The sequence below is a fragment of the Homo sapiens genome, chromosome 6, assembly GCF_000001405.40.
Source record: "Homo sapiens chromosome 6, GRCh38.p14 Primary Assembly".
Lineage (NCBI taxonomy): Eukaryota > Metazoa > Chordata > Mammalia > Primates > Hominidae > Homo > Homo sapiens.
This window is the reverse complement of record NC_000006.12, coordinates 169,212,408-169,239,597: the sequence shown is the minus strand read 5'-3', so window position 1 is coordinate 169,239,597 and position 27,190 is coordinate 169,212,408. Positions and strand designations below refer to the sequence as shown.

The 27,190-nt window shown below is 50.1% G+C and overlaps 1 protein-coding gene and 2 long non-coding RNA genes across 8 annotated transcripts in view, besides 3 other annotated features; 1 reads left to right on the top strand and 2 right to left on the bottom strand.

Moving 5' to 3' along the window:
- Window positions 1-23,813, top strand: part of THBS2 (thrombospondin 2) — a 38,062-nt gene extending 14,249 nt beyond the window's left edge. For 2 of the 6 annotated variants that reach the window (NM_003247.5, NM_001381942.1), the window contains exons 8-22: window positions 1,803-1,973; window positions 2,252-2,428; window positions 4,691-4,864; window positions 6,581-6,708; window positions 6,782-6,934; window positions 7,400-7,618; window positions 9,919-10,026; window positions 11,317-11,476; window positions 13,300-13,418; window positions 14,219-14,453; window positions 16,123-16,350; window positions 17,130-17,401; window positions 18,071-18,168; window positions 19,261-19,400; window positions 21,769-23,813. In NM_003247.5, the coding sequence (NP_003238.2) occupies window positions 1,803-1,973; window positions 2,252-2,428; window positions 4,691-4,864; window positions 6,581-6,708; window positions 6,782-6,934; window positions 7,400-7,618; window positions 9,919-10,026; window positions 11,317-11,476; window positions 13,300-13,418; window positions 14,219-14,453; window positions 16,123-16,350; window positions 17,130-17,401; window positions 18,071-18,168; window positions 19,261-19,400; window positions 21,769-21,776 (2,390 nt within the window). In that variant the 3' untranslated portion in view covers window positions 21,777-23,813. Of the gene's footprint in view, window positions 1-1,802; window positions 2,103-2,251; window positions 2,429-4,690; window positions 4,865-6,580; window positions 6,709-6,781; window positions 6,935-7,399; window positions 7,619-8,173; window positions 8,757-9,918; window positions 10,027-11,316; window positions 11,477-13,299; window positions 13,419-14,218; window positions 14,454-16,122; window positions 16,351-17,129; window positions 17,402-18,070; window positions 18,179-19,260; window positions 19,401-21,768 lie in introns of those variants that run through there. The other 4 variants (NR_167744.1, NR_167745.1, NM_001381939.1 and 1 more) reach the window with 4 other exon arrangements.
- Window positions 33-26,386, bottom strand: THBS2-AS1 (THBS2 antisense RNA 1). Its single transcript, NR_134621.1, has 3 exons — window positions 26,020-26,386; window positions 25,111-25,424; window positions 33-373 (listed from the first exon to the last, which is right to left on the bottom strand). It is a non-coding gene; the product is annotated as a THBS2 antisense RNA 1 (long non-coding RNA).
- Window positions 6,118-6,318: a silencer, noted in NCBI's record as "peak6323 fragment used in MPRA reporter construct". NCBI's record gives its function as "represses an SCP1 promoter by STARR-seq MPRAs in K562 erythroleukemia cells {active_cell/tissue: K562}" and the evidence as "EXISTENCE:reporter gene assay evidence [ECO:0000049][PMID:32103011]".
- Window positions 13,644-14,247, bottom strand: LOC124901470 (uncharacterized). Its single transcript, XR_007059889.1, has 2 exons — window positions 13,934-14,247; window positions 13,644-13,803 (listed from the first exon to the last, which is right to left on the bottom strand). It is a non-coding gene; the product is annotated as an uncharacterized LOC124901470 (long non-coding RNA).
- Window positions 14,366-15,565: an enhancer, noted in NCBI's record as "CDK7 strongly-dependent group 2 enhancer chr6:169624128-169625327 (GRCh37/hg19 assembly coordinates)". NCBI's record gives its function as "activates an origin of replication core promoter dependent on BRD2, BRD4, P300/CBP, MED14 and CDK7 cofactors, with strong dependence on CDK7, by STARR-seq in HCT116 cells {active_cell/tissue: HCT116}" and the evidence as "EXISTENCE:reporter gene assay evidence [ECO:0000049][PMID:35650434]".
- Window positions 26,298-26,647: a silencer, noted in NCBI's record as "silent region_17794". NCBI's record gives its function as "represses an Ori minimal core promoter by ATAC-STARR-seq in GM12878 lymphoblastoid cells {active_cell/tissue: GM12878}" and the evidence as "EXISTENCE:reporter gene assay evidence [ECO:0000049][PMID:35858748]".

Below are 27,190 nucleotides of genomic sequence, written 5' to 3'. Positions count from 1 at the left end.
TGAGTATCGCCAGCCGGCAAGCGCATCCTGCATTTTTAGGAATTCCATGCTTGTTTGTTTATTTATTCATTGGTTGGTTTTGGCAGAGAAGAGTGAGGTTCAGCCCCCTGAGTACAGGTGAGAGAATCAGAGGGCCACCCCAGGCCACTGGTCATCCACTGAGGACTGACTCATGGCTAGAAAGGAGTGTGGAAGCCCTGGGAACGCGGGGGTGGGAAGGCCAGTCCTGATGCTTCTCAGACGAGGAAGCTGAGCCCAGTGGTCACGCAGGTGAGCCCAGAGCAGGCCCCGATGGAGCCCCAGCTGAGAGTCAGAGAACACACGTAGATCTGTGACTGTGTTATGGCAGCAAGTGATCACTGTACACACACTCCTGGAAAAAACAATAGAAAATCAGACAAACAAAAACCAAAGACTGTTATCCGAAGAATATGTTCTAAGGGATAGAAATACATTCTAAGGAACAGAACCTGAGATGGAGAGGAACCACGTGTGGGCACCCTGGGGGTTCCTGGGCCACCCTGGAAACTCAGTGCACGTTCAGAGACTGAGTTGGCCCCAACGCTGCCCTCAGGTCTCTGTGCTGCCTCCCACCCCTGCCCCGAGTTCCCTTCCCAAGTTAGCTCTGCTGACCCCACCCAGAGCTCCTGAGCCATCCGTGGCTCCCCAGTGCCGTGCCGTTGGCAAGGTGCTTCAGGTCTACACCCCAAGTTGCTGCTGCACTAAGATCAGGCAACGCTTCTCCCAAACTAAACTAGTCACCATCCCCCAAACATTCCCAGAATGTCCCTGTGGCCCCAGAGCTGTGTCATCCTCAGGGCACCTTACCTCTGATGTGGACAGAGAATGAAGGGACTCAGAGCTCACGCTCTGCCACTCTGTGATTTTGAATAAAATGGGATTTTTCTGAGTTTCAAATTTATTGCCTGTAACATGCAGAAAATGTATCCCCTATACAGTTAGTCTTATAATTAAAACCAACAATTCAATATGCGTAAAAGTGCCTGTTAGGTATTCACAAAGTCAGAATGCTCCTGGCAAAGCATAAAAATATAATCTTGATAATCAAAGGGCCCACATTAGACTAGAAGGAGACATTTTATGTTATCAGGAGCATCATGACCAGGAAAAGACCTCCTTGACCATTTTTCTTTTCTTTCATTTCCCTGCTTTCTAGAACACTGAGTCATGGCGCATTCACTGGGCTTCTCTCCTCACGGGAATGATTTCTGGCGTCAGGTTGCTCTTTCCCCCCATTTAGCGGCTGTGATTACCTATGAAGAATTTCTTTACAGGGAATCTCCTTTTTATTAGCTTGTTTCAGTTTACTTGGAAATAAGTGACCTGTAATTTTCACCAATAATTGAAATGTTTCACTACATTATGTAAATCAGCGAACAGAGGTTAAATGGAAATACGTTACATTTTTGTAACTTTAATGAAACCTCATGTAGAAAAGATTCAACACTGTCTTTGGCAAGCTATTTTATAAAATCGATTAAGAGACTTTCCTGGACACACATGGATTTAGCTCCCCTCAGCACCCTAATAGTAGACCCAGAAAGGCGTTTTTGCTCTTCTCTTGAAAGGCAGTCCCTGAACTCCCGTGCAGGTCACAAACTTGGGTCCCACGGAGCCACGGCCCAGCCACTGGGATGTCCACCTGCCCCAGCCAGGCAGTGGCCCCTCAGATTCCTGGATGCATGAACTGTGGCCCCACGCCAGCTGCCCTGTGCCCGTTCTGTTCTGTGGCACGTCTGTGAGGCAGGGCCTGATGCCACCGTGTTTGCTTCCTCTGGCAGCGGTGGACGGTGAGGAGGGCTGGTCTCCGTGGGCAGAGTGGACCCAGTGCTCCGTGACGTGTGGCTCTGGGACCCAGCAGAGAGGCCGGTCCTGTGACGTCACCAGCAACACCTGCTTGGGGCCCTCCATCCAGACACGGGCTTGCAGTCTGAGCAAGTGTGACACCCGCAGTGAGTGTCGGGCAGGTGACACCCGCGTGCCTGTGGGGGTGGGGCCGCGTTTCTCTCAGTCATCGGGACCTTTGCAAGGGACAGAGCTGCCCTCACGAGGTGCTGGGCCTTTGCAAGGATTCTAGCCAGGTGAGGCTCTTTCTCCCAGCTGATGGGAGGGGTTCTCCTTCCCTCTCCTCAGCAGCTGTGAGATGCTCCTCGGTTAATAAGGCACACCGCTTACAGGCAAATACCCCTCTAGGCGGCACAGCCTGATCTCTCTCCGCTTCTTGTGTTAGTCCGGCAGGACGGCGGCTGGAGCCACTGGTCACCTTGGTCTTCATGCTCTGTGACCTGTGGAGTTGGCAATATCACACGCATCCGTCTCTGCAACTCCCCAGTGCCCCAGATGGGGGGCAAGAATTGCAAAGGGAGTGGCCGGGAGACCAAAGCCTGCCAGGGCGCCCCATGCCCAAGTAAGTACGGTGAAGGCGGGGCCCTGGGTGGGCGGGCTTGCAGGCAGCTCACAGTGAGCAGCCACAGCTGGAGCCGGGATCCGGGGTGTCAGGGCCTGTTCCAGCCCAGCCCAGCCCCAGCCGAGCAGCAAAGGGGGCTGCCATCCCGGGCCTGGCTCGGTAATGAACCCATCCTTTGTGATTAATTCTGCTCACCTGTGCTCAGCGCAAACCTCCTCTGAGATAGCCCCGTTTCATTCCAGTTCAGGACAGACTGTAATTAAAGGAAGAATGATCCAGCACCGCAGCTCTGTCATGGGAGTGAGTGTGGATGGGGGAGTGAGTGTGGATGGGGAGTGAGTGTGGACGGGGAGTGAGTGTGGATGGGAGTGAGTGCGGACGGGAGTGAGTGTGGACGGGGAGTGAGTGTGGATGGAGTGAGTGTGGATGGGGAATGAGTGTGGATGGGGAGTGAGTGTGGATGGTGTTTATGGGGGAATGAGTGTGGATGGGGAGTAAGTGTGGATGGGAGTGAGTGTGGATGGCGAGTGTGGATGGGAGTGAGTGTGGATGGCGAGTGTGGATGGGAATGAGTGTGGATGGGGAGTGAGTGTGGATGGGAAGTGAGTGTGGATAGAGTGAGTGTGGATGGGGAATGAGTGTGGATGGGGAGTGAGTGTAGATGGGAGTGAATGTGGAGAGTGAGTGTGGATGGGGAGTGAGTGTGGATGGTGTTTACGGGGCAATGAGTGTGGATGGGGAGTGAGTGTGGATGGTGTTTATGGGGGAATGAGTGTGGATGGGGAGTGTGGATGGGAGTGAGTGTGGATGGGGAGTGTGGATGGGGAGTGAGTGTGGATGGGGGAGTGAGTGTGGATGGGGAGTGACTGTGGATGGGAATGAGTGTGGATGGGGAGTGAGTATAGATGGGAGTGAATGTGGATGGGGAGTGAGTGTGGATGGGGAGTGAGTGTGGATGGTGTTTATGGGGCAATGAGTGTGGATGGGGAATGAGTGTGGATGGGGAGTGAGTGTGGATGGGGAGTGAGTGTGGATGGTGTTTAAGGGGGAATGAGTGTGGATGGGGAGTGAGTGTGGATGGGAGTGAGTGTGGATGGTGAGTGTGGATGGGGAGTGAGTGTGGATGGGGAGGGAGTGTGGATGGGGGAGGGAGAGTGTGGATGGTGGAGGGAGAGTGTGGATGGGGGAGTGAGTGTGGATGGGGGAGTGAGTGTGGATGGGGAGTGAGTTTGGACTGAGTAGTGAGTGTGGACAGAGGGAGAGTGTGGATGGGGGAGGGAGAATGTGGATGGGGGAGTGAGTGTGGATAGGGGAGTGAGTGTGGATGGGGAGTAAGTGTGGATGGAAGTGAGTGTGGATGGAGTGAGTGTGGATGGGGAGGGAGTGTGAATGGGGGAGTGAGTTGTATGGGCAGTGAGTGTGGATGGGCAGTGAGTGTGGATGGAAGTGAGTGAGTGTGGACTGAGTGAGTGTGGATGGGCAGTGAGTGTGGACGGGGAGTGAGTTTGGACTGAGTAGTGAGTGTGGACAGAGGATGCCGCAGATGCACAGAACTGTGTCTCTCTGAAATAGCCTTTCCCTGCGTCTGTGCAGACTAGGGTGTGAGTTACAGAGCGCTTGGCCCAAAGCATCAAGGGCTTCCCCAGGGAGGCCTGGCTCGGGAAGTGCATGGATGTGCTGAGAAAAAGAGGGTGTGCAGGGATTGCCTTCAGCTGTGCTCACGCCTCATGGGAACTGCCTGTGAGGACATTCGGTGTCATACCAGGCTTCTGAGTTGAGGCCACCCTCCATGGCAGAGGGACAGCTTGGCGAGGAGCTCTGAGCTTCTCGGTGTAAATGGTGGTGTGGGGCCGGGCACGGTGGCTCATGCCTGTAATCCCAGCACTGTGGGAGGCTGGGGCAGGAGGATTGCTTGAGGCCAGGAGTTTGAGAGCAGCCTGGGCAACATAGCGAGACCCTCTCTATTAAAAAAATTCTTTTATTAAAAAGAAGAGGTGGTATGATTTGTCTTCTGGAGGCCAAGAGATCGCAGCAAAGCCATTGGAAACACTGGCTTCTGAGTCACTCCCGGAATCCACCATTGCAGCAGGCGTAGTGGTGCGATCACGCTCTGACCTGTAGTCAGCCAACCTGGGGAGAAACCAGTTTGTGGGGCTGTGTAGGGAACACCATGTCCCACCTGCTCTTCCCTCTCACTCAGCCAACTCACGTTCTCCACCCCGGGTCTTGCTCTGAGCTCCCCCTGGTTGGCTTTCCCCGCAGTCGATGGCCGCTGGAGCCCCTGGTCCCCGTGGTCGGCCTGCACTGTCACCTGTGCCGGTGGGATCCGGGAGCGCACCCGGGTCTGCAACAGCCCTGAGCCTCAGTACGGAGGGAAGGCCTGCGTGGGGGATGTGCAGGAGCGTCAGATGTGCAACAAGAGGAGCTGCCCCGTGGGTGAGTGAGGGGTAGAAGCGGGGGCACTGAAACCCGGGCTTCCATTCTGATGAAAAGCACAAACGCTTTGGGAAACTAGATGAAAAACACAGAAAAGAAAAATCAATTTTAGTTGCACACGCAAAGATAACTACTTTTAACATCTGTGTTTCAGTCCTCCTGTATTTCTAATGTAAAAACAAAAAAGATGCCAGGTGGCGTGGCCTGTGGAATGTGGGTAGTTGTGTGGCGTGGAATGTGGTGTGTGGGTAATTGTGTGGTGTGGCCTGTGGAATGTGGGTAGTTGTGTGGCGTGGCCTGTGGAATGTGGGCAGTTGTGTGGCATGGTATGTGGTGTGTGGGTAGTTGTGTGGCATGGAATGTGGAGTGTGGGTAGTTGTGTGGTGTGGAATGTGGTGTGTGGGTAGTTGTGTGGTGTGGCCTGTGGCATGTGGGTAGTTGTGTGGCTGGGAACATAGCATGTAGATAGTTGTGTGGTATGGAACATGGTGTGTGGGTAGTTGCATGGTGTGGACTGTGGCATCTGGGTGGTTGTGTGGTGTGGACTGTGGCATCTGGGTGGTTGTGTGGTCTGGAATATGTAGTTGTGTAGTGTGAAACGTGGCATGTGAGTAGCTGTGTGTTGTGAAACATGGTGTGTAGGTAGTTGTGCGGTGTGGAACATGGTGCATGGGCAGCGGTGTGGTGTGAAATGTGACACATGGTAGTTGTGTGGTCTGGAACGTGGCATGTAGGTAGTAGTGTGGTGTGTCACCTTGCATGTAGTTATGTGTTGTAGAAGGTGGTGCGTGGGCAGTTGTATGGTCTGGAACATGGTACATGGGTAGTTGTGTGGTCTAGAATGTGGCATGTAGGTAGTTGTGTGGTATAGCACCTGACGTGTGGGCAGTTGTGTGTTGTGGAAGGTGGTGTGTGGGCAGTTGTGTGGTCTGGAATGTGGCACATGGTAGTTGTGTGGTCTGGAACATGGTGTGTAGGTAGTTGTGTAGTGTGGAAGGTGGCGTGTGGGTAGTTGTGTGGTCTGGAACGTGGCACATAGGTAGTTGTGTGGTGTGGCACCTGGGGTGTAGTTGTGTGTTGTGGAAGGTGGTGCGTGGGCAGCTGTGTGGTCTGGAACATGGCACGTAGGTATTTGTGTGGTGTGGAAAGTGACGCATGGGTAGTTGTGTGGTCTGGAATGTGGTGCATAGGTAGTTGTGCAGTGTGGCACCTGGGGTGTAGTTGTGTGTTGTGGAAGGTGGTGCATGGGCAGTTGTGTGGTCTGGAAGGTGGCACGTGGTAGTTGTATGGTCTGGAACATGGTGTGTGGGTAGTTGTGTAGTGTGGAAGGTGGCACGTGGGTAGTTGTGTGATCCGGAACGTGGCGCGTAGGTAGGTTTGTGGTGTGGCACCTGACATGTAGTTGTGTGTTGTGGAACCTGGTGCGTAGGCAGTTGTGTGTTGTGGAAGGTGGCGTGTGGGTAGTTGTGTGGTGTGGCCCGTGGCGTGTAGTCATAATGTACACGTGCTTCTGCAACCCGCTGCACTGTGTCCACCTGAGCAATGCGGTCTTGGAGATGATGCCTCTTGATGATCATCCAGAATCACACCAGAGTGTTCCTGACTACACAATTCGATGACAAAGACATCCCAGAGTGTTTGACGGCCCACAGGGCGGGCTTCCTTCTGTGCTGCGCAGGGCGCGTGGTGAACTCTGCTCCGCCTTCTCCCACCCAGATGGCTGTTTATCCAACCCCTGCTTCCCGGGAGCCCAGTGCAGCAGCTTCCCCGATGGGTCCTGGTCATGCGGCTCCTGCCCTGTGGGCTTCTTGGGCAATGGCACCCACTGTGAGGACCTGGACGAGGTGGGTGACCCCGCCCTGGGCTGTGGGCGCCCTGAGGTCGGGAGCGGCCTCTCATGTCTGCTTGTCCCCGCAGTGTGCCCTGGTCCCCGACATCTGCTTCTCCACCAGCAAGGTGCCTCGCTGTGTCAACACTCAGCCTGGCTTCCACTGCCTGCCCTGCCCGCCCCGATACAGAGGGAACCAGCCCGTCGGGGTCGGCCTGGAAGCAGCCAAGACGGAAAAGCAAGTACGCAAGGCCGGCCTTCCTTGTGTGTTGCGAGCGGCTTTGGAAAAATCAGATGAGCTCAGAAAAGCAGCAGGAGGAAGGAGAGGAAGGGGTGGCGTGGCCCGGGAGAGGCATGGGAGGGGCTGGCCCGGGGAAGCTGAGCACCTGCTCGGCTGGGCCGCTGCTCTCCGCGCGGGGTGCGGGGCGTGCTCAGCCGGGCCTGTGAGGGTCAGGCCGCCACCTCTCCGCTGTTAGCGCAGCCCTTGGTGAGCTGCAGCCGAGGCTCAGAAACGATGGCTGAGTCACAAACGGAGCCTCAGGAACGAACAGCACCTCAAGTGCGTGTCCAGAAAGCCCTTCCCACTTCAGGACTTGGGTCCGCTTGGGACCGGACCTGCTGGGGCCTGCGGTGCCCGACGCCCCGCCTCGACGCCTCCGGAGCCATCGTCCTGCCTGTCGCTAACCCCGCAGCCCTTCTCCCCGTAGGTGTGTGAGCCCGAAAACCCATGCAAGGACAAGACACACAACTGCCACAAGCACGCGGAGTGCATCTACCTGGGCCACTTCAGCGACCCCATGTACAAGTGCGAGTGCCAGACAGGCTACGCGGGCGACGGGCTCATCTGCGGGGAGGACTCGGACCTGGACGGCTGGCCCAACCTCAATCTGGTCTGCGCCACCAACGCCACCTACCACTGCATCAAGGTGAGGCGCGGGGCTCGCAGGGCACACGGGGCCACGGCGGTCAGCCCTCCTCCTGGCGCCGGGGACGCTACGCGGACGGGGGGCGGGGGCAGCACAGGGAATTTGGAAGGAGGGTCTCTCAGGCCTCTTGCCTGATCACCAGGTTGAATGCATCCCCCTGGTCCCCTCTCTGGAGGTCCTTAGTAGACACAGGCACACTCTGGCGCCGCCCACTGCTGGGCACAGAGAACCTCGGGCACGTCGGCCCATATTTGCAATTGCGCGCATCGTTAACGCCTGAAACTGAGCAGAGGGAGGACGCCGGCTCCACGCTCGGCTCCAGGCTGTGCAGAGGCCATTGTGTCTCAGGCAGGTCTGGCCAGGCTATGTCACTTGGAAAGAGTTAGGACATGGTTTTCTTCCCAAAGCCCAAGCGTGTTGCAGTATAAGGAGCTGCTCAGCTGGAAGAAGGAGCTCCTTCGGGGCCCATCCCAGGCTGGACTGCTTTCCTGTGGCCGCTGGAACGAACACCACGGCCCGGGAGGCTCACAACAACAGGAATCTGTTATCTCACAGCTCTGGAGGCCTGAAACACAACGTCAAGGTGCTAGCGGGGCCGTGCTCCCTCTGCTTCTCCCAGCTTCTCTGGCTCAGGCGTCGCTGGGCTTCTGGCGCTGGTGGCTGCATGGCCCTGACCTCTGGTCGGCTTCACACCACTTTCTCCAGTGCCTTTCTCTCCGGAAACTTCCTCTGCCTCTCTTTGATAAGAACACCTGTGGTTGTATTTAGGGCCCACCCAGATAATCCAGGATGAGCCTCACTGTTCAATGTCCTTGACCTAATTCCACTTGTTACCATACAAGATGAAATTCACTTCAGCCATATCAGGTGACATCCCCGGGCGCCAAGACACTAGGACGCGGACATCCATCGTGGGGACTGCCACTCAGTCCACCGCACAGGGTGCCCCAAAATGTTTTAGTGCAGTTTTATGCCTTAAGAAGGTCAGACATGGAAATGCCACAAACTGACACAAAATATCATTTGAAAATATAAATATATTCATTTATTTAATATTTAATCATTCTTGCAAATTTTGTGTTAATTTTCTCTGTCAGTCCCGCTTGATTAAAGATGCCAAATACTCACTGAAACAAAATATGAGTATGTTTTAAAATCAACGAGGCACTGATCCCAACCTATGTTACACCCCTTGGCTACCCAGCCTACCCTTCTTGAAGCCCCTGATTTCAGAAGGTCAGCTGCAGCTGAGTCCGTGCTGCTAGAAGATATCCCGATTATTCTTTCCATCATTGTGGAATTTTAGATGGAAATTTAATAACTTCGAAAATGGTATATAATTTGCAAAGTTATATGTATATATACACATACACAAAAGGATTTAAAAGTGAGACTTGACAAGGGACCCCTGTGCCCGTTCCCATATTAACCCGACACACAGGTGCTGGATCCTCCCCATTGCCAGGGGCCCCCGTCTGGGATCCGTGTCCTCCATGACAAGCAACATGCTCTCCTTTCTTAATCTGTAAGTGCTGAAACTCTGGGCTCCAGCACAAGACCCCAGGTTCTGTCTTCTGATTCAACGAGTGATGTGCTTTGAGCCACGGGGATGACACACCCTTGGGGCTCTTGTACTGAAACTGAAACGGACACGCTACTCTCTACCTTTTCCTGGATTTCCAATTCCCTCAAGTTGTTAGTGTCTGCACAGCTCAGCTTTAAATTATGGTATAACTGGACTGAAATGAAAGGAGTTTTTGCCCAATTACATGCATTACCCACTCACCGTGAAAAGCTGAGTTAGCAGATAATTTCAAGTTCTCAGCCCTGGTTTCTGAACATATCACATACATATTTGAAAGACTCTTTTCTTTGAGATTTTTTGACTGGTGAGGGTTAAACGTTTATAAGCTTTGGCATTTTGATTTATGAGCTGAAGTCTGTGGGAAGGAAAGCACCACTAAAGCCTCTTTTCTCTCCCATGTTCTCTCAGAGCAATACCTTGTCATTCTCTTCTTGTTTCTGCAGTTGTTTGGCAACCTCACTGGGATTCTGGGCTCCGAACACAAGTTTCTTTTGTCTCCCTCGTGAGTAGTGGTGACATAATTTCCAGGGCAGGAGTTGAGAAGAAATTCATGCGCTTCTGGCCTCCTGGCTCCTCTCTCAGCTCCCGCTTGAGATCGAGGACTGATGGGGCACGCTTCCTTCCTCGGCGCCATGCTGGTTTCATTTCACCTGCATTCCTGAAAGAGGCGCTTTCCTAAATGTTTTTCCAAGTATTCTTCCTTCTCCAATTGCAGGATAACTGCCCCCATCTGCCAAATTCTGGGCAGGAAGACTTTGACAAGGACGGGATTGGCGATGCCTGTGATGATGACGATGACAATGACGGTGTGACCGATGAGAAGGTAGGAGCAGCTTGTGCCGCGCACCTGCCCTGGGTTCCAGGAGCAGCGAGGTCCACAGGAGGCCACTTTATACCAAACAGCCCTTGTCAACGTAACTGCCATTGTCCTGCAAGCGTTTGTGCATAGGCAGTTCCCAAAGGTCACTATAAAGACAGTCCTTTGCAAAAGCGGATTTTACCTCAGTGCATGGGGCTGCCCAGGGTGTGCTGCCGGAAATGTTTTGAATAATTTTTTCTATTTTAACTGCAAAAAAATAGAAGACCTCCTCTCCTTCTGCTGAGGAGCCAGTGATGGGCAAGGCTGACACCACCATGAGTGATAGACTTGCCTTTATGGCAACATTTAAAATATTACCATTTTTCTAAGAAAATTGCTGCAAACACAAATGGTTTAATGTATTTGTACACAAAACAGCTCTAGCAAGAATAGATCAAGATTTTACTCACTGCTTTTTTACATCTGACTTTGATGGGAGACATTGACTCACTAATCCATTCATTTATTTGATATTTACATATCTCTCCTCACCATGAAGTGTATGATATACCATTTTTGCCTTAGCAATCTACAAATTTTCAACAAAAGACAGATGCATAAATAATGATAAAATGATTTGATATGGAAAAAGTGTTTGGCGAGGGCTAACTCTTTTTTTTTTTTTTTTTGGTCGCTCAGGCTTGAGTGCAATGGCATGATCTTGGCTCACTGCAATCTCCATCTTCTGGGTTCAAGCGATTCTCTTGCCTCAGTCTCCTGAGTAACTGGCATTACAGGCGCACACCACCACGCCCGGCTCATTTTTGTATTTTTAGGAGAGATGGGGTTTCACCATGTTGGCCAGGCTGGTCTCGAACTCCTGACCTCAGGTGACCCGCCTGCCTTGGCCTCCCAAAGTGCTGGGATTAATGGTGTGAGCCACTGTGCCCGGGCCTAACTGGCTTTTTAAAGCACTGGGATTAAAGGTGTGAGCCACTGCGCCCGGCCCTGGTCTTGAACTCCTGACCTCAGGTGATCCGCCCGCCTCAGCCTCCCATAGTGCTGGGATTAAAGGTGTGAGCCTCCGTGCCCTGCCCTGACTGGCTTTTTGAAGTGCTGGGATTACAGGTGTGAGCCACAGTGCCCAGCTGTGATTAAAGGTGTGAGCCACCGTCCAGCCCTAACTGGCTTTTGTGTTTGTTTGATTTCTATATTGATTTTCATCAACCTTGAGTACATAACTTATAAGTGCTAAACGGCCCGACACACATTCCTATGATCTTCGTTAAAGTCTTCCCTTTCTTGGTTTTCCAGGACAACTGCCAGCTCCTCTTCAATCCCCGCCAGGCTGACTATGACAAGGATGAGGTTGGGGACCGCTGTGACAACTGCCCTTACGTGCACAACCCTGCCCAGATCGACACAGACAACAATGGAGAGGGTGACGCCTGCTCCGTGGACATTGATGGGGACGGTGGGTGCTTCTGCTCCTTCCCATGCGTGCACTTTTTTTTTTTTTTTGAGATGGAGTTTCACTATTGTTGCCCAGGGCAGTAGCACCATCTTGGCTCACTGCGATCTCCACCTTTTGGGTTCAAGTGAGTCTCCTGCTTCAGCCTCCTGAGTAGCTGGGATCACAGGTGCACACCACCACGCCTAGCTAATTTTGTATTTTAAGTAGAGACGAGGTTTCACCATGTTGGCCAGGCTGGTCTCAAGCTCCTGACCTCAAATGATCCGCCTGCCTTGGCCTCCCAAAGTGCTGGGATTACAGGCGTGAGCCACCGCGCCCGGCCCAATGCATGCATTTTAAGGGTCGCAATTGGAGGCATTGGCAAGTTTCATGTTTTATTCTGAATTTTGATAAGCTCCTTTCATTTTTACACTACTATAAGATTAAATGATTCATTCAGTTATTCCCATAGGGACCCATGCTTATTCTGCCTTGCCTTTTCCTGAAGGTCAGGGGACACCAGCCACAGGACCGCCCTAGAGAAAGCTATGCATTTGGTATCCTCCTCTCTCTGACCCCAGCCTTGCAGTCCTGGGCCTCGTGCTTCTTCATGGCATCTTTTCTAATGTTCACCCTTCATTCAAAAATTCCAAGAAGCCATTTCATGTTTTCATCAAACTGAGCTTCTAGGAGTTAGAATAACGTGGGTGTATTGTGGTTACCTCTGCCACTGATCCCGGTTGCTGCTTTATCCGGAGAGTTCGCTGGCCTTGGTAAGCGAGCTCTGCAACCCAGTGCCACTGTCACCGCATGGTCATCCCTTCTCTTGGGGTGCCTGGAGACCAGGCGAGTGCTTCTGTAGAACCAGCAAGAGCTGGGGGCAGGCTCGCCTCCACGCTGGAGCTCGGCCCCAGCTCCTCCACACTTCGCCTCGTGGGGTCCTCTTCCCAGCCCGGCGCCAGCCACCCCCTTTCTGAGCCACCCCAACCTGCTGTTCTGTCTCACAGCGGGTTTCTCAGTCTGATCTTTTCCACTGATTTCTGCCTCCACCCTCCTCTCGTTCTCTGGGAATGTGGTGGGTTGCTGTCTGAGGGCTCGTGGTGGCCAGGGGGCTCCTCGGCTCCCCATCCAGGATGGCGTCTGTGATGTGCTGGATGCAGATCTCAAGCTCCAGTCCCTTCCATTTTTATTTTTTAGGTGTTCCTTACTTCCCTTCTCCAGACCTCACCTGACCAAAGCAAGGCGAGCGTCTCAGCTCAGTTCTGGCTCTTCCTGTGGACTCGCTGCCGTGTAACATTTTGCTCTGTCATTTGTGACACTGTCACTGATGGTATTGTTTAGTTCAGTGCTAGTTTATATTTTTGTAACTTCAGTATCAATGCAACTCATCACTTTCAGATTTCTTAAGATAAGATATGACATCTAAAAACCCTGCCACTCTCTGCCATTGTTTTTTTCCTACTCATGTGCATGGATGATAAACTCCTGGGAACTCAACACATACTTTCCAAGTGGGTATTAGGGAGAAATAAGCAATTTAGCAAGCTCAGATTTACACGGCGACAGCACATTCAACTACCCCTCCTGCAACATTACCCAGAAATCTCCAAAAGTTGGTTCTATTTCAAATGAAAGGTATTTGAACTGTAATGAAATATGTCATATGTTCTTCTAAAATCTAATAGTCTTTATATTTTACTATATTCTTAGGCGTCTTTTTATTATAATTAAATAGAAGTGTGGCTGTAAGCAATTTCGTGTGATAGGAAAAACAATGTGCTTTTTCTAAACTCACCTGTCCTTCTGGTTTGTTTTTGTTTTCTTCCCCCTTTAAACACTTACAGATGTCTTCAATGAACGAGACAATTGTCCCTACGTCTACAACACTGACCAGAGGGACACGGATGGTGACGGTGTGGGGGATCACTGTGACAACTGCCCCCTGGTGCACAACCCTGACCAGGTGAGGGCAGCCGCAGACAGGCGGGGTTGGAGGTCCTCATCAGAGGGACGCGGGGACGGTGGCGGTGTGGGGGATCACTGTGACAACTGCCCCTGGTGCACAACCCTGACCAGATGAGGGCAGCCATGGGCAGGCGGGTCTCAGGTCCTCATCAGTCCCCTCCATGGGGCCTTGGGAGTTTTCCATGAGCTCCACAAAGACAGGATAACATGGAGTTTTCAATGATTTCAATTGAAAACATTTATTCAACTCAAATCTCAGCACTATTCTTGTATCTCAGTGGCCACAGGCCAAATGAATAGACGCCTTCACCTCATCAGCTGGAGCGAGGTTGTGTCTTCACAGAATTCTCTCCCCATTTTCCTGATGCCAACATAGGAATTGGCTTCATTTCCAGGTTTGCGTTTGAAAGAGACAAGGGAGGACAGTTATCTTGATGCAGCTCATAGGATATATTATCCTATGATGTAAATGGTGTAAATGGCGCAAATGGTGTAAAAAAGAGACATAATTACCTGGTAGTTCATGCTTTTCCAGCGAAGAAGCACATCTTCCTTTAGTGAAGTGAATTACTGTGGAGAGGTGGCAGAGGGTGGAGAGATTCCTGGACCGAGAGGCCTGGCCCCAGTGCTTGTCCTGACGTCAGGGTCAGTGTGACCTCGGGCCAGCCGCCCCTGCGTGGCCCTGGGGCTTGTGCTGCAGGACGAGGAGGCCGGCTCTCAGGCTTGCGTCCTGCTGGTTCCTCTCCACCTCCTCAAACTGGCAGTCCTCTGCTGTTTCTCTCACGCCCCATCCCCTAGACCGACGTGGACAATGACCTTGTTGGGGACCAGTGTGACAACAACGAGGACATAGATGACGACGGCCACCAGAACAACCAGGACAACTGCCCCTACATCTCCAACGCCAACCAGGCTGACCATGACAGAGACGGCCAGGGCGACGCCTGTGACCCTGATGATGACAACGATGGCGTCCCCGATGACAGGGACAACTGCCGGCTTGTGTTCAACCCAGACCAGGAGGACTTGGACGGTGGGTGCTCTCTCAGCTCATGGGCGTGGAGGAAAATGGCTTCTGAGCAACCCGCCAGGGCAGAGATATGTATGCACGGAGATCATCTTAAATCTGCTGCTGGAAAAAGGGCAATGACTTTGGGCCTCTTAAAGCTGTGGGTCCATGCAATATGAGTTTCTTCTCCCCTGACACTCAACACATTCTTGGCTGTGTGTGTGCCCTTCAACAGGTGTGCTGCCTCAAGTGTGTGTGCACGTCGGGAGGAGGAGAAATCCCTGCCTCCATATAACTTCCAGATTGTTGACGATCTCCTAGAAAGAATGCGGGTTACGAACGTAGGATGAATTGGGAATTTGGTGTATGGGGCCAGGCAGGGGACAAGGAGGATTTTTTTGAAAGCAAAGCCAACAAAAGTGGCACGAGTGTGAAGCATGAGAGGAAGAGCTGCTTTGCTCAGCAGTGAGCATGAATAGGTGGCCCATAGCCACGGGGGCCCAAGGAAGGAGCTGGATGGGCTGCAGTCCTCTAAGTCAGCGTCCCTGAGTAATAAACAAGGGCACAGCTGTGCTCTGGGGCTTCCGGGGAGGCTGTGAGAAAGTGGCCCTCACTTGGAGTGGGGCCTGGCTGACACAGGCTCTCTTTGGAAGCCACGTCCTTGACAGAGGGAGATAAGGACTTGAGGGGCATCTGAGACAGCATGACTCAGAAGTACGTGGGAGATGCTGGGATCAGAAGGGCAGCTCCTGTGTTCTCCCCGAGCAGCATGAAGGGATGGAGTGAGCACAGCAAGCCTCATCTGGACTCCGTGTTCGGGCATGCAGGGGCTTGCTCCCCATGCAGCCTTTCCCCAGGGAGGGACTGGGACAGAGAGAAGCTGATAGGCAGAGCAGCATTTCAGCATTTCAGAATGCCCTGATACCAACTATGTGCCTGCCACGTGGTAGCTGGAGTATGTTCTTGAACAGAACGGAAACTAGTTGAAGAATATGATGAGATATTCAATCCAACTTGCCTTTCCTCCAAAACGGCAGGCCACGTGATAGCTAATTCAGTACATTGCAATCTGCCTGTCAGGTTATCGTCATCGCCGTAGACTGATAGACTGGACACATGTGGCAAATTCGTGGTCCCCCTGTTTGCACCAGGCCCACCTCATCCCCACTCCCCACCATGCCACAACCCCGCTGAAAACTTGACAAGGACCCACTAAACAGCGGAAGTCCATGTCTCCCTAGGAAAAACCATTTTAGTGTGAGTTCCGCTTTAATGCCAAATAGACTATAAAAGGCAAGGATGACTAAGAAAAGTAATAACAGACATTCAGAAAACTATCCAAACACAAAGCTGGAAATGCAGGTTGATATTACTTGACAGCCATTCAGGTTTTATACCTGCAGCATTGAGTTTGGAACACGGTGAGAAATGGCTTTATGTGAATTTGCTGTGCTGGCCTTTGCTGTGTATTTATCACAAAAATTTTGTGAAAAGAGTTGAGGTTCCTGTGAAGTCAAATGTTTTGGAGATTGTTGAGCACGAATCCACAAAACACTGCAAAGCACTCAGTCTTAGATGTTCTGGGAAAGATGCACTCATGTTTCTCAGACACGGAAAAGCAAATGGCAAACCACCGACCACCGACTTTGCTTCTTTGTTTTTGTTTTTGTTTTTGCTTGTTCTTTGTGCATAGGTGATGGACGGGGTGATATTTGTAAAGATGATTTTGACAATGACAACATCCCAGATATTGATGATGTGTGTCCTGAAAACAATGCCATCAGTGAGACAGACTTCAGGAACTTCCAGATGGTCCCCTTGGATCCCAAAGGGACCACCCAAATTGATCCCAACTGGGTCATTCGCCATCAAGGCAAGGAGCTGGTTCAGACAGCCAACTCGGACCCCGGCATCGCTGTAGGTGAGTCTCTGAGACACGGCGGTGGTGCCAGCATTTCTCCGGGGGAGGCGCCCACAGAAGATGCAGACTGCACTTTAAGATCATGCAGGTGGGATGCCATGTGGTCTTTCTGGAAGCCCCCATCCTTCCATGGTCTGTGAAACTGTCTGCCTAAATAACCTTGACAGGTACATGCACCTGCCGCTCTGAAGTCTCTGAAATTTCAGTAAACCATTTTATTTTATAGACTTGGTCTATGAAATGGGACCTCATAATCCTCTCAGAACTCTTGTAAGTTGGATCTAAAAGAAATACCTTCAATTCCACTAATCTCATGGTAAAAGAGCCCATCGGGATGATGAGGGGAGCCCGCCCTGCCTGCTGGGCATCCACTGTCAGATGGTCACAGGGCCAAGCTGGGGATTGCCTGAAACCTGTTTCTTTTTTTTTTCTTTTTTTTCTTTTTTTTTTTTTGAGATGGAGTCTTGCTCTTGTCCCCCAGGCTGGAGTATAGTGGTACAATCTCAGTTCACTGCAACCTTTTTTCCCCGGTTCAAGTGATTCTCCTGCCTCAGCCTCCTGAGTAGCTGGGATTACAGGTACCCACCACCATGCCCGGCTAATTTTTGCATTTTTAGTAGAGACAAGGTTTCACCATATTGGTCAGACCAGTCTCGAACTCTTGACCTCAGGTGATCTGCCCACCTCGGCCTCTCAAAGTGCTGGGATTACAGGCATGAGTCACTACTCCCGGCCACCTGAAAGGTGTTTCTAACGAAACCTTATGGCGTTGCATCCAGGTTTTGACGAGTTTGGGTCTGTGGACTTCAGTGGCACATTCTACGTAAACACTGACCGGGACGACGACTATGCCGGCTTCGTCTTTGGTTACCAGTCAAGCAGCCGCTTCTATGTGGTGATGTGGAAGCAGGTGACGCAGACCTACTGGGAGGACCAGCCCACGCGGGCCTATGGCTACTCCGGCGTGTCCCTCAAGGTGGTGAACTCCACCACGGGGACGGGCGAGCACCTGAGGAACGCGCTGTGGCACACGGGGAACACGCCGGGGCAGGTGAGGTTGGCTGGCCAGGCCCACACATCTCCTCTGCACCACTGTGGCTGCAGAGTGTTTCAGCAGGACTAGCCCAGTCCAGAGACCCCACTTTTGTCTTTATTAATTTTAACTCCAGGCACAGTTATTTTAATAATCTTACTTTATTATAGACACTGTGCCTGGGGTTACAACTCAACACAGTTGATAATTACCAGTTAAATACAGTTGCTAATCCTTTTACAAATTAAACCTCTTTTACCCTCTTCTGGAGATAGGGAGTGAGCATAGGACATAATGATCAAAGATATAATATGAAAAAAATATTTTAAAAATTGAAGCTAGGGAGAATTGAATATCAAAACTTCAAGAATTTTGCCCAACATCCCATATCAAGGAAAGAGAAGATCCAGACATGAACCCAGGAATCTGAGGATCAGGTGCCTGGGCTCTTCAATCCAGGAATCTGAGGGTCAGGTGCCTTGGCTCTCAGCCCTGAGCCACACTCTGTCCATGGGCTTCAATCCACAGTAGAGATTTGGATGATAAACACATCAGAGAGATATGGAGCACCATGAGCCTTAAGCATGAACTTGCAAAGTCATGTTTTTGCTTCCTGCTTGGTGTTACAGAGCTGTGGTTAAGGCTCCGGGTGCCCATGGCACTCAAGAGTGCTATGTTCTCTCTCAGGTGCGAACCTTATGGCACGACCCCAGGAACATTGGCTGGAAGGACTACACGGCCTATAGGTGGCACCTGACTCACAGGCCCAAGACTGGCTACATCAGGTGAGGGCAGGTCAGCACAGCTGCATTTCTTCCAAGGGGCTTCCCATCGGACGGCACATTTGAACATTAATAGACAAATAAGCTCAAGTGAATTCTAACTTTTTGTTTTACTCTGGATTCTTCGTCATTAACTGCTTTCTCTTTTCTATCCTGCATCTCTACTAAATATTAAGTATTTTTAAAAAATGGTTGAAAAGGAGAATATACAATCTGCTTTGTTTTGGGATGATAACCATATTTTCTCCTAATGAATACCCCAGGCAGGGGAGAACACCTGCAATTAAAATAACTGCATCTTTGCAGAATTAGCATGTGCTTTATTGGAGACTAGATTTGTACCTGATATAAATGGCTGAATTTAAAACACGGTTGTATGAAGTTTTGACACAGTTAGCCCAACAGAATCTTTTCCCTTGGCTTAACAGTATTTATAATTGATTTTTATTCAAACAAAATGTGGTCAATTTAAAATCAAGGTGTTTTTGTTTTTTCAAAGTTAATAAGCACCAAGATCAGGCTGGACTCTGCACAGATGCCAGGAGTGTGTGAGTCCCTGGCAATAGAGGGCAGATCTGTGTGGGTGAAGTGCAGGCTCGTGGCCTCGCTGGAACGTTTCCCTAGGGGGCCTCCTGTTTATTCATATTGATGCCCCATCCTCCTGTCGGGGGCTTGGTGTATCCAGTCCTGCTCCCACGCAGCTTCCACAGTGGGGAGGAGAGCCGGTGAGCTCATGGTTTTAGCACAAGGTGAAGTAGGGAGAGTCCGGTGCATCTTCCCAGGAAGTGGGAAGCTTCCTCCTCACCCCACCAAAGGTAGAGTCTCCTCTAAAGCCCTTGCCTGGGTGACTGTAAGTGAACTCACAGATTGTGACAATAGTGTGGTTGCAAGAAGGAAGGCGTGCCCTGGATCAGTGCTGCACCAGGGGTGGCTGGAGCTCCAAAGGAGAAAGCCAGCAATGCCCCCTGGGGCACTGAAGCCCTGGGCGGAGTATCCACAGCTTGTGTCCGGAGCCAACCTTCCATCACTGGTGAATGCTTCACAGAGTTCATGTTGTCTTTCTTTCCTCTTCTTCTTTTTAAACACCATTTTTAGAGTCTTAGTGCATGAAGGAAAACAGGTCATGGCAGACTCAGGACCTATCTATGACCAAACCTACGCTGGCGGGCGGCTGGGTCTATTTGTCTTCTCTCAAGAAATGGTCTATTTCTCAGACCTCAAGTACGAATGCAGAGGTGAGTGTGAGCACTTCAGGTTAGTGGGGAAGGCATGTGGCACCCAGAAAGGGAAAGGGGTACACAGTGCGCTCTTCCACTTACAAAAGCTGTACATCAGGGCAATAAACCTAATGCACAATACCACACATGAGCCCCCTGCACATTCCAAGCAGCCATTTCATTTGGTCAGCTTGGATTGTTTTGTTTTTAATTGCATTTGGATGCCTCTGGTAGAACACTTTCCAATTATTTACAGGTCCCACCCATCCTCATTGTGCCATAGCCTAGAGTTTCCTAGATTTCCTCCACTTCCAGGCTCCTGACGCCATTTTAGATTGGTACCCTTGCATTAGCAATGGCAGGCAGGCAGGAAGGAAAGAAGGAAGGAAGGAGTTTCTCTATAGTTATCTCGCTACAGGTATATTTGAATCAAAATATTATAGACCTGGAAGATAACTTGAATTCCATCTGCTCTAATTCCATGCCTTCAAATGCGCATTACCCTTCCACAGATGCAGTAAATAAGGCTCAGGATGCTTCTCAAGAATCACACATTGAAAATCATGTGTTTGGCTGGGGGCAGTGGCTCATGCCTGTAATCCTAGCCCTTTGGGAGGCCAAGGCGGGTGGATCCCCTGAGGTCAGGAGTTCGAGACCAGCCTGGCCAACAGGGCAAAACCCTGTTGGGGTTGATTTATCTGCTTGCTTCTGTGGAGGTTTTCTTCTCCTTATGTTAGGATGTCTTTCAAGGCATCTCATTTCCTCCCATCCATCCATATCATTCATCCACCCACCCATATATCTCATCCATCCACCCATCCATCCATCCATTCATCCACCCATCTCATCCATTCACCCAACCATCCATCCATCCACCCACCCACACACCCACCCATCTCATCCATCCAACCACCCATCCACCCAACTATCTCATCCATCCATCCATCCACCCACCCATCCACCTATCCATCTAATCCATCCACCCACCCACCCACTCATCCATTTCATCCATCCATCCACCCACACATCCACCCAACCATTTCATTCACCCCCACTCACTCATCTATCCCATCCATCCATTCATCTCATCCACTCACCTACCTACTCATCCATCCATCCATCCACCTATCAATACATCCATCTCATCCATCCATCCATCCATCTCATCCACCCACCTACTCATCCATCCATCCACTCATCTCATCCACCCACCTACTCATCCATCCATCCACTCATCCACCCACCTACTCATCCATCCATCCACTCATCTCATCCACCCACCTACTCATCCATCCATCCACTCATCTCATCCACTTACCCACCCACTCATCATCCATCCATCCACCCAGCACTTATCCATCCATCTTATCCATCCATCCATCCATCTCAGCCACCCACCCATGCACTCATCCATCTCATCCACCAACCCACTCATCCCTCCATCCACCCACCCACCCATCCATCCATCTCATCCACCCACCTATCTCATCCATCCATCCACCTGTCTCATCCATCCATCCATCCCATCCATCCATCTACTCATCCGCCCATCCATCTCATCCATTCACCCAACCATCCATCTCATCCATCCATCCATTCATCCATCCACCCACCCACACACCCACCCATCTCATCCATCCATCCACCCAGCCCCATCCACCTATCCATCTAGTCCATCCACCCACCCACCCATCCATCTCATCCATCCATCCATCCACCCATCCATTTCATCCACCCCCACTCATCTATCCCATCCATCCATCTCAGCCACCCACCCACCCACTCATCCATCTCATCCATCCACCCACCCATCCATCTCCACCAACCCACCTATCTCATTCATCCATCCATCCATCAATTCATCTCATCCACCCATTCATCTCATCTACCAACCCACTCATCCATCCATCCACCCACCCATTTCATCCATCCACCAATCCATTTCATCCATCCATCCACCCATCCATCCATCTCATCCAGCCACCCAACCATCTCATCATCCATCCACCCATTCATCTCATCCACCAACCCACTCATCCATCCATCCACCCACTCATTTCATCCATCCATCCATCCATCTCATCCACCCACCCACCCCATCCATCCACCCATCCATCCACCCACCCATTTCATCCACCCACCCATCCATTTCATCCATCCATCCATCCATCCATCTCATCCACCCACCCACCGACCCATCTCATCCATCCACCCACCCATCTCATCCATCCACCCATCCATTTCATCCATCCATCCATCCATCCATATGATAGATCTCATCTTTAATTAAAGTAATTATATTTCTGGTTCTAGGTAAAACAAAATAAATCACTACCCATGGCCCAGTTATGCTAATTGTTTATTGCTTTTTTTTTTCTTTTTGTAGATATTTAAACAAGATTTGCTGCATTTCCGGCAATGCCCTGTGCATGCCATGGTCCCTAGACACCTCAGTTCATTGTGGTCCTTGTGGCTTCTCTCTCTAGCAGCACCTCCTGTCCCTTGACCTTAACTCTGATGGTTCTTCACCTCCTGCCAGCAACCCCAAACCCAAGTGCCTTCAGAGGATAAATATCAATGGAACTCAGAGATGAACATCTAACCCACTAGAGGAAACCAGTTTGGTGATATATGAGACTTTATGTGGAGTGAAAATTGGGCATGCCATTACATTGCTTTTTCTTGTTTGTTTAAAAAGAATGACGTTTACATATAAAATGTAATTACTTATTGTATTTATGTGTATATGGAGTTGAAGGGAATACTGTGCATAAGCCATTATGATAAATTAAGCATGAAAAATATTGCTGAACTACTTTTGGTGCTTAAAGTTGTCACTATTCTTGAATTAGAGTTGCTCTACAATGACACACAAATCCCATTAAATAAATTATAAACAAGGGTCAATTCAAATTTGAAGTAATGTTTTAGTAAGGAGAGATTAGAAGACAACAGGCATAGCAAATGACATAAGCTACCGATTAACTAATCGGAACATGTAAAACAGTTACAAAAATAAACGAACTCTCCTCTTGTCCTACAATGAAAGCCCTCATGTGCAGTAGAGATGCAGTTTCATCAAAGAACAAACATCCTTGCAAATGGGTGTGACGCGGTTCCAGATGTGGATTTGGCAAAACCTCATTTAAGTAAAAGGTTAGCAGAGCAAAGTGCGGTGCTTTAGCTGCTGCTTGTGCCGCTGTGGCGTCGGGGAGGCTCCTGCCTGAGCTTCCTTCCCCAGCTTTGCTGCCTGAGAGGAACCAGAGCAGACGCACAGGCCGGAAAAGGCGCATCTAACGCGTATCTAGGCTTTGGTAACTGCGGACAAGTTGCTTTTACCTGATTTGATGATACATTTCATTAAGGTTCCAGTTATAAATATTTTGTTAATATTTATTAAGTGACTATAGAATGCAACTCCATTTACCAGTAACTTATTTTAAATATGCCTAGTAACACATATGTAGTATAATTTCTAGAAACAAACATCTAATAAGTATATAATCCTGTGAAAATATGAGGCTTGATAATATTAGGTTGTCACGATGAAGCATGCTAGAAGCTGTAACAGAATACATAGAGAATAATGAGGAGTTTATGATGGAACCTTAAATATATAATGTTGCCAGCGATTTTAGTTCAATATTTGTTACTGTTATCTATCTGCTGTATATGGAATTCTTTTAATTCAAACGCTGAAAAGAATCAGCATTTAGTCTTGCCAGGCACACCCAATAATCAGTCATGTGTAATATGCACAAGTTTGTTTTTGTTTTTGTTTTTTTTGTTGGTTGGTTTGTTTTTTTGCTTTAAGTTGCATGATCTTTCTGCAGGAAATAGTCACTCATCCCACTCCACATAAGGGGTTTAGTAAGAGAAGTCTGTCTGTCTGATGATGGATAGGGGGCAAATCTTTTTCCCCTTTCTGTTAATAGTCATCACATTTCTATGCCAAACAGGAACAATCCATAACTTTAGTCTTAATGTACACATTGCATTTTGATAAAATTAATTTTGTTGTTTCCTTTGAGGTTGATCGTTGTGTTGTTGTTTTGCTGCACTTTTTACTTTTTTGCGTGTGGAGCTGTATTCCCGAGACCAACGAAGCGTTGGGATACTTCATTAAATGTAGCGACTGTCAACAGCGTGCAGGTTTTCTGTTTCTGTGTTGTGGGGTCAACCGTACAATGGTGTGGGAGTGACGATGATGTGAGTATTTAGAATGTACCATATTTTTTGTAAATTATTTATGTTTTTCTAAACAAATTTATCGTATAGGTTGATGAAACGTCATGTGTTTTGCCAAAGACTGTAAATATTTATTTATGTGTTCACATGGTCAAAATTTCACCACTGAAACCCTGCACTTAGCTAGAACCTCATTTTTAAAGATTAACAACAGGAAATAAATTGTAAAAAAGGTTTTCTATACATGATCTCTCTCCCTTTTTTAAAAAGAACTAGCAGGGTTTCTACCGGGGTGGGGGAAAGGGGTAGAAGGAATTGGCATTTTGCTTCCTGTCATGTAAGTAGGCCTGTGGTGTGATCACGGGCTATCTCCTCGCAAGTCACAGGTTAAAATGCAGGCTGAAGGGCCTGGTGGAGAAGGAAGCCCTGCTTGACACAGGTCTCTGTTCTGCTGAGCCTCCCAGCACGGTGTGGGATACAACCATTTAGCAATTCATCTCTCCTGCCTCTGCTCATTGTCAAACGAGGGAACAGAACTTCGTAGGGAATTTGGCAAACATGATTGAAATGATTCCGAAAAAGGCAACAGCACACGGGACCCTCTCCCTAATACGAGCTGTTCTTCCCTCTTGACTCATTCTTCTGAGTCAGGTGGAGGGAAGTAGCGGACCCCAGAGGAAGGGCCCATTTCCAACCACAGCACTGCCTAAAAATGGGCCGATCGGGCTCACCAGTTGGAGGAGGCAATGGCAGCAGCACAGAACGCTGGGGTTTCTTTAGCAGCTCCAGCTGCTCTTGTTGGGATTTCTGAATATTATGCAGGCAGACACAGAGAAGAAAAACAGGGAGAGAGGGAGAGAGGGCATCCAGAGAGAAAGGGGAAGAGAGGGAGGGAGAGAGGGAGAGAGGGCATCCAGAGAGAAAGGGGAAGAGAGGGAGGGAGAGAGGGAGAGAGGGCATCCAGAGAGAAAGGGGAAGAGAGGGAGGGATGGGGGAGAGAGAAAGAGACAAAGAGACAGAGGGAAAGAGGGGGAGTTGGGGGAGGGAGGAAAAGAGAGCAAGATGAATAAAAACAAGTATACTTGGCTGAAACACGCTGGAGTGAGTCAGACAGTGAAGCAATAAGATATAGGAAAGGCCGTCTGAGGCAACGGGCTGTGAACTGAAGGCCCTGGCTTTGAGTTGTGAAATGAGTGAGTTTTAGTTCATCAATATGGAGGAAAAAGCTAGACCTACATGTGTAAAAAGAAAAGTTTAGAAACAAAATAATGATGGCAGTGATAGTGGCTGGTCTATGGACAGCTACTGGAGGAAGCTCAATGTACATTTTACTCATGAAACAAAAAATACATATAATATGTTGAATAAGGATGCTTAGAAGTCAGGCATTAAAATGAGATACATTTCTCCTGCATTCAGGTTTTGCTGTCATTTATCGAAAAGTTGAGGTTTCCTGACAATCATGTTCCCTGTCGATGGCCTTAGCCACATCAGAATGGTTGTCTCCCAGGATTAATGTGTGGTGCCTTTGTGAGCTCACCTGGGAGGAAGGTGTCCCTGGACCTCGATGACTCCGTGCGAGCACCTGCCCTGTGGCCCTCCATCTCCCTTCTGCGAATCGCTGCCAGCACACCACGGGAGCTCCGCACCTTCCACCGTGGACCGGGAGGGCCGTCGTTCTAGACGCTGATGCTGCTGCTCACAGGGAAAGGTTCGGCCCAGGCCCACGCTCTGAGAGTTGTCTGTACAAGGCTCAACCAACTCGCCCTCAGGGCAGGCACAGGCCTTGGTCGTGTGGAACGAGTCGGTGGGTGAAATAACACATCTTCACTCCCAAGTATCCAAGCGTGGGATCTGTGATTGCCGGGAGGAGAGAAGCCTTCATACCGTGACCAACTCACTGGCTGCTGCGTGTCCCAGCTATAGGCTACATGGGGGCAGAGGGCTCCTTCCGTCATTCCTGGAGGACCAAAATCTTAGGCCAGCTTTGCTCAGTCTGCGTTTCACAAAGTGATGCTTTTGACCATGGAGCAAGTGGTGCCTAGGCCTTGAGGAACGCAGGTGTGGGGTGATCCAGGAGCTGCCACTCCAGCTCCACGGCCACAGCCCTGTGGGCTGCCAATGCCCAAATGGGAGGGCCCTGCTGAGGGCTATCACCCACACGAGGCCCTTAGCCCAGGGCAGGTACCTGCACTGATGCTTCCCACCCTCTTAGTAAAGTCCTTCTGGAGCCACCAGCCTGGGGGCCCAGGGGAGGGGCTGAAGCAAGCTGGGACACTCCTGCTTCGCCCGGGTGTCAGCCCTGTGCCCAGGGGAGTGAGCTGCGGGCCCAGAGCAGCTTGCGGCCCACGCAGCCGGCGTTAGCCTTGGGGACCACGTGGGCATTTGTGAGAGAGGTCCGGGCCCGTGCCCCCCACCCCGTGCAGTCCCACAGGGGCCCCTGACTCACCCTTCCCCAGCCCTTGCTCAGCGGTCCGGCCCCTCTGGCTCCCCTGAGTCTGCGCTTGGCCCCTTGCGGGTGGGGTGAGCGCGGAGCCTCGGCTGTCCCTGCCTCGTGGCCCACCCAGGGCGCCCGCCGCCCCTGCAGCAGTAGCAGGACCTACTGCCAGCTTCTCAGTTCCTGTCTCGGCCTTTTTCAGGCCGTTGAAGACTTTTGCCACTTTTCTGACTTTTTTTTTTTTTTTTTTTTTACCACATAAGGGCTTTTTCAACCCCAAAGCACATCAAATGCAGGATGGGAAGTGATATTCGACTTTCCGGCCTCCAGCGCACACCCCTGACGCGCGCGGACTGCAGGGCTTGGGTCGGGGCGTCCCTGGGAAGCTCAGCCGGTTCAGCCCCGGCGAGCCCCGCCCGCGCGCGTCCCCGAGAGCCGGAGGCCCCGCCGAGCGCATGCCCAGCCCTCCCTGCGCGCCTGCGCCCTCCCTGCGCCCTCTCCTGGGCCCTGACTGTGCTTGAATGACAGCTTCACTGCAGGGTAACCCGGAACCTTCAAAAGGCCGATTCTGCAAACAAAATGGTGTAGAAAGAGGAAGAAAGCATTAGTGCAACAAAACTCGATTGCGCTTCGTTTTATGTACGATTTATTTACTTTTAAAATATTTTTTCTGTTTTTAGATTTATTTTTCTACTGAAAAATTGTTTAGTTATCTTGAGGTGGGACAGAATTCTTCATACGACTTTTCCCATTTAAAAATGTAATTATTTTTAAATATGGCTTTAGGAATAAATTACAGTTGTTAAAATGGAGATACATATTATTTATATTTATGTATTGATTATTGAATGGTATATACGCAAGCAACATACACGTGACTATACATATGCATCATGAATACACAAACCTCCCTTGTCTCAGGCCATACTTATTCTGGATTTTAAAGAAGTGGAAAAGTTGGCAAAGTGTCAGAGAACAAGATCAACACATGGAAATCAGTTGTGCGTCTGTATACCAGACAGAAACAATTTAAAACGGAAGTTAAAAGTACAATACCATTTGCAATAACATACAAAACAATAAAATACCTCGTAATAAATGTAACTTGGGAGGCAGAAGACTTGTACTATGAAAACAGAAAAACAATGCCAAAATAAATTAAAACCTATATAAATGGAAAGAC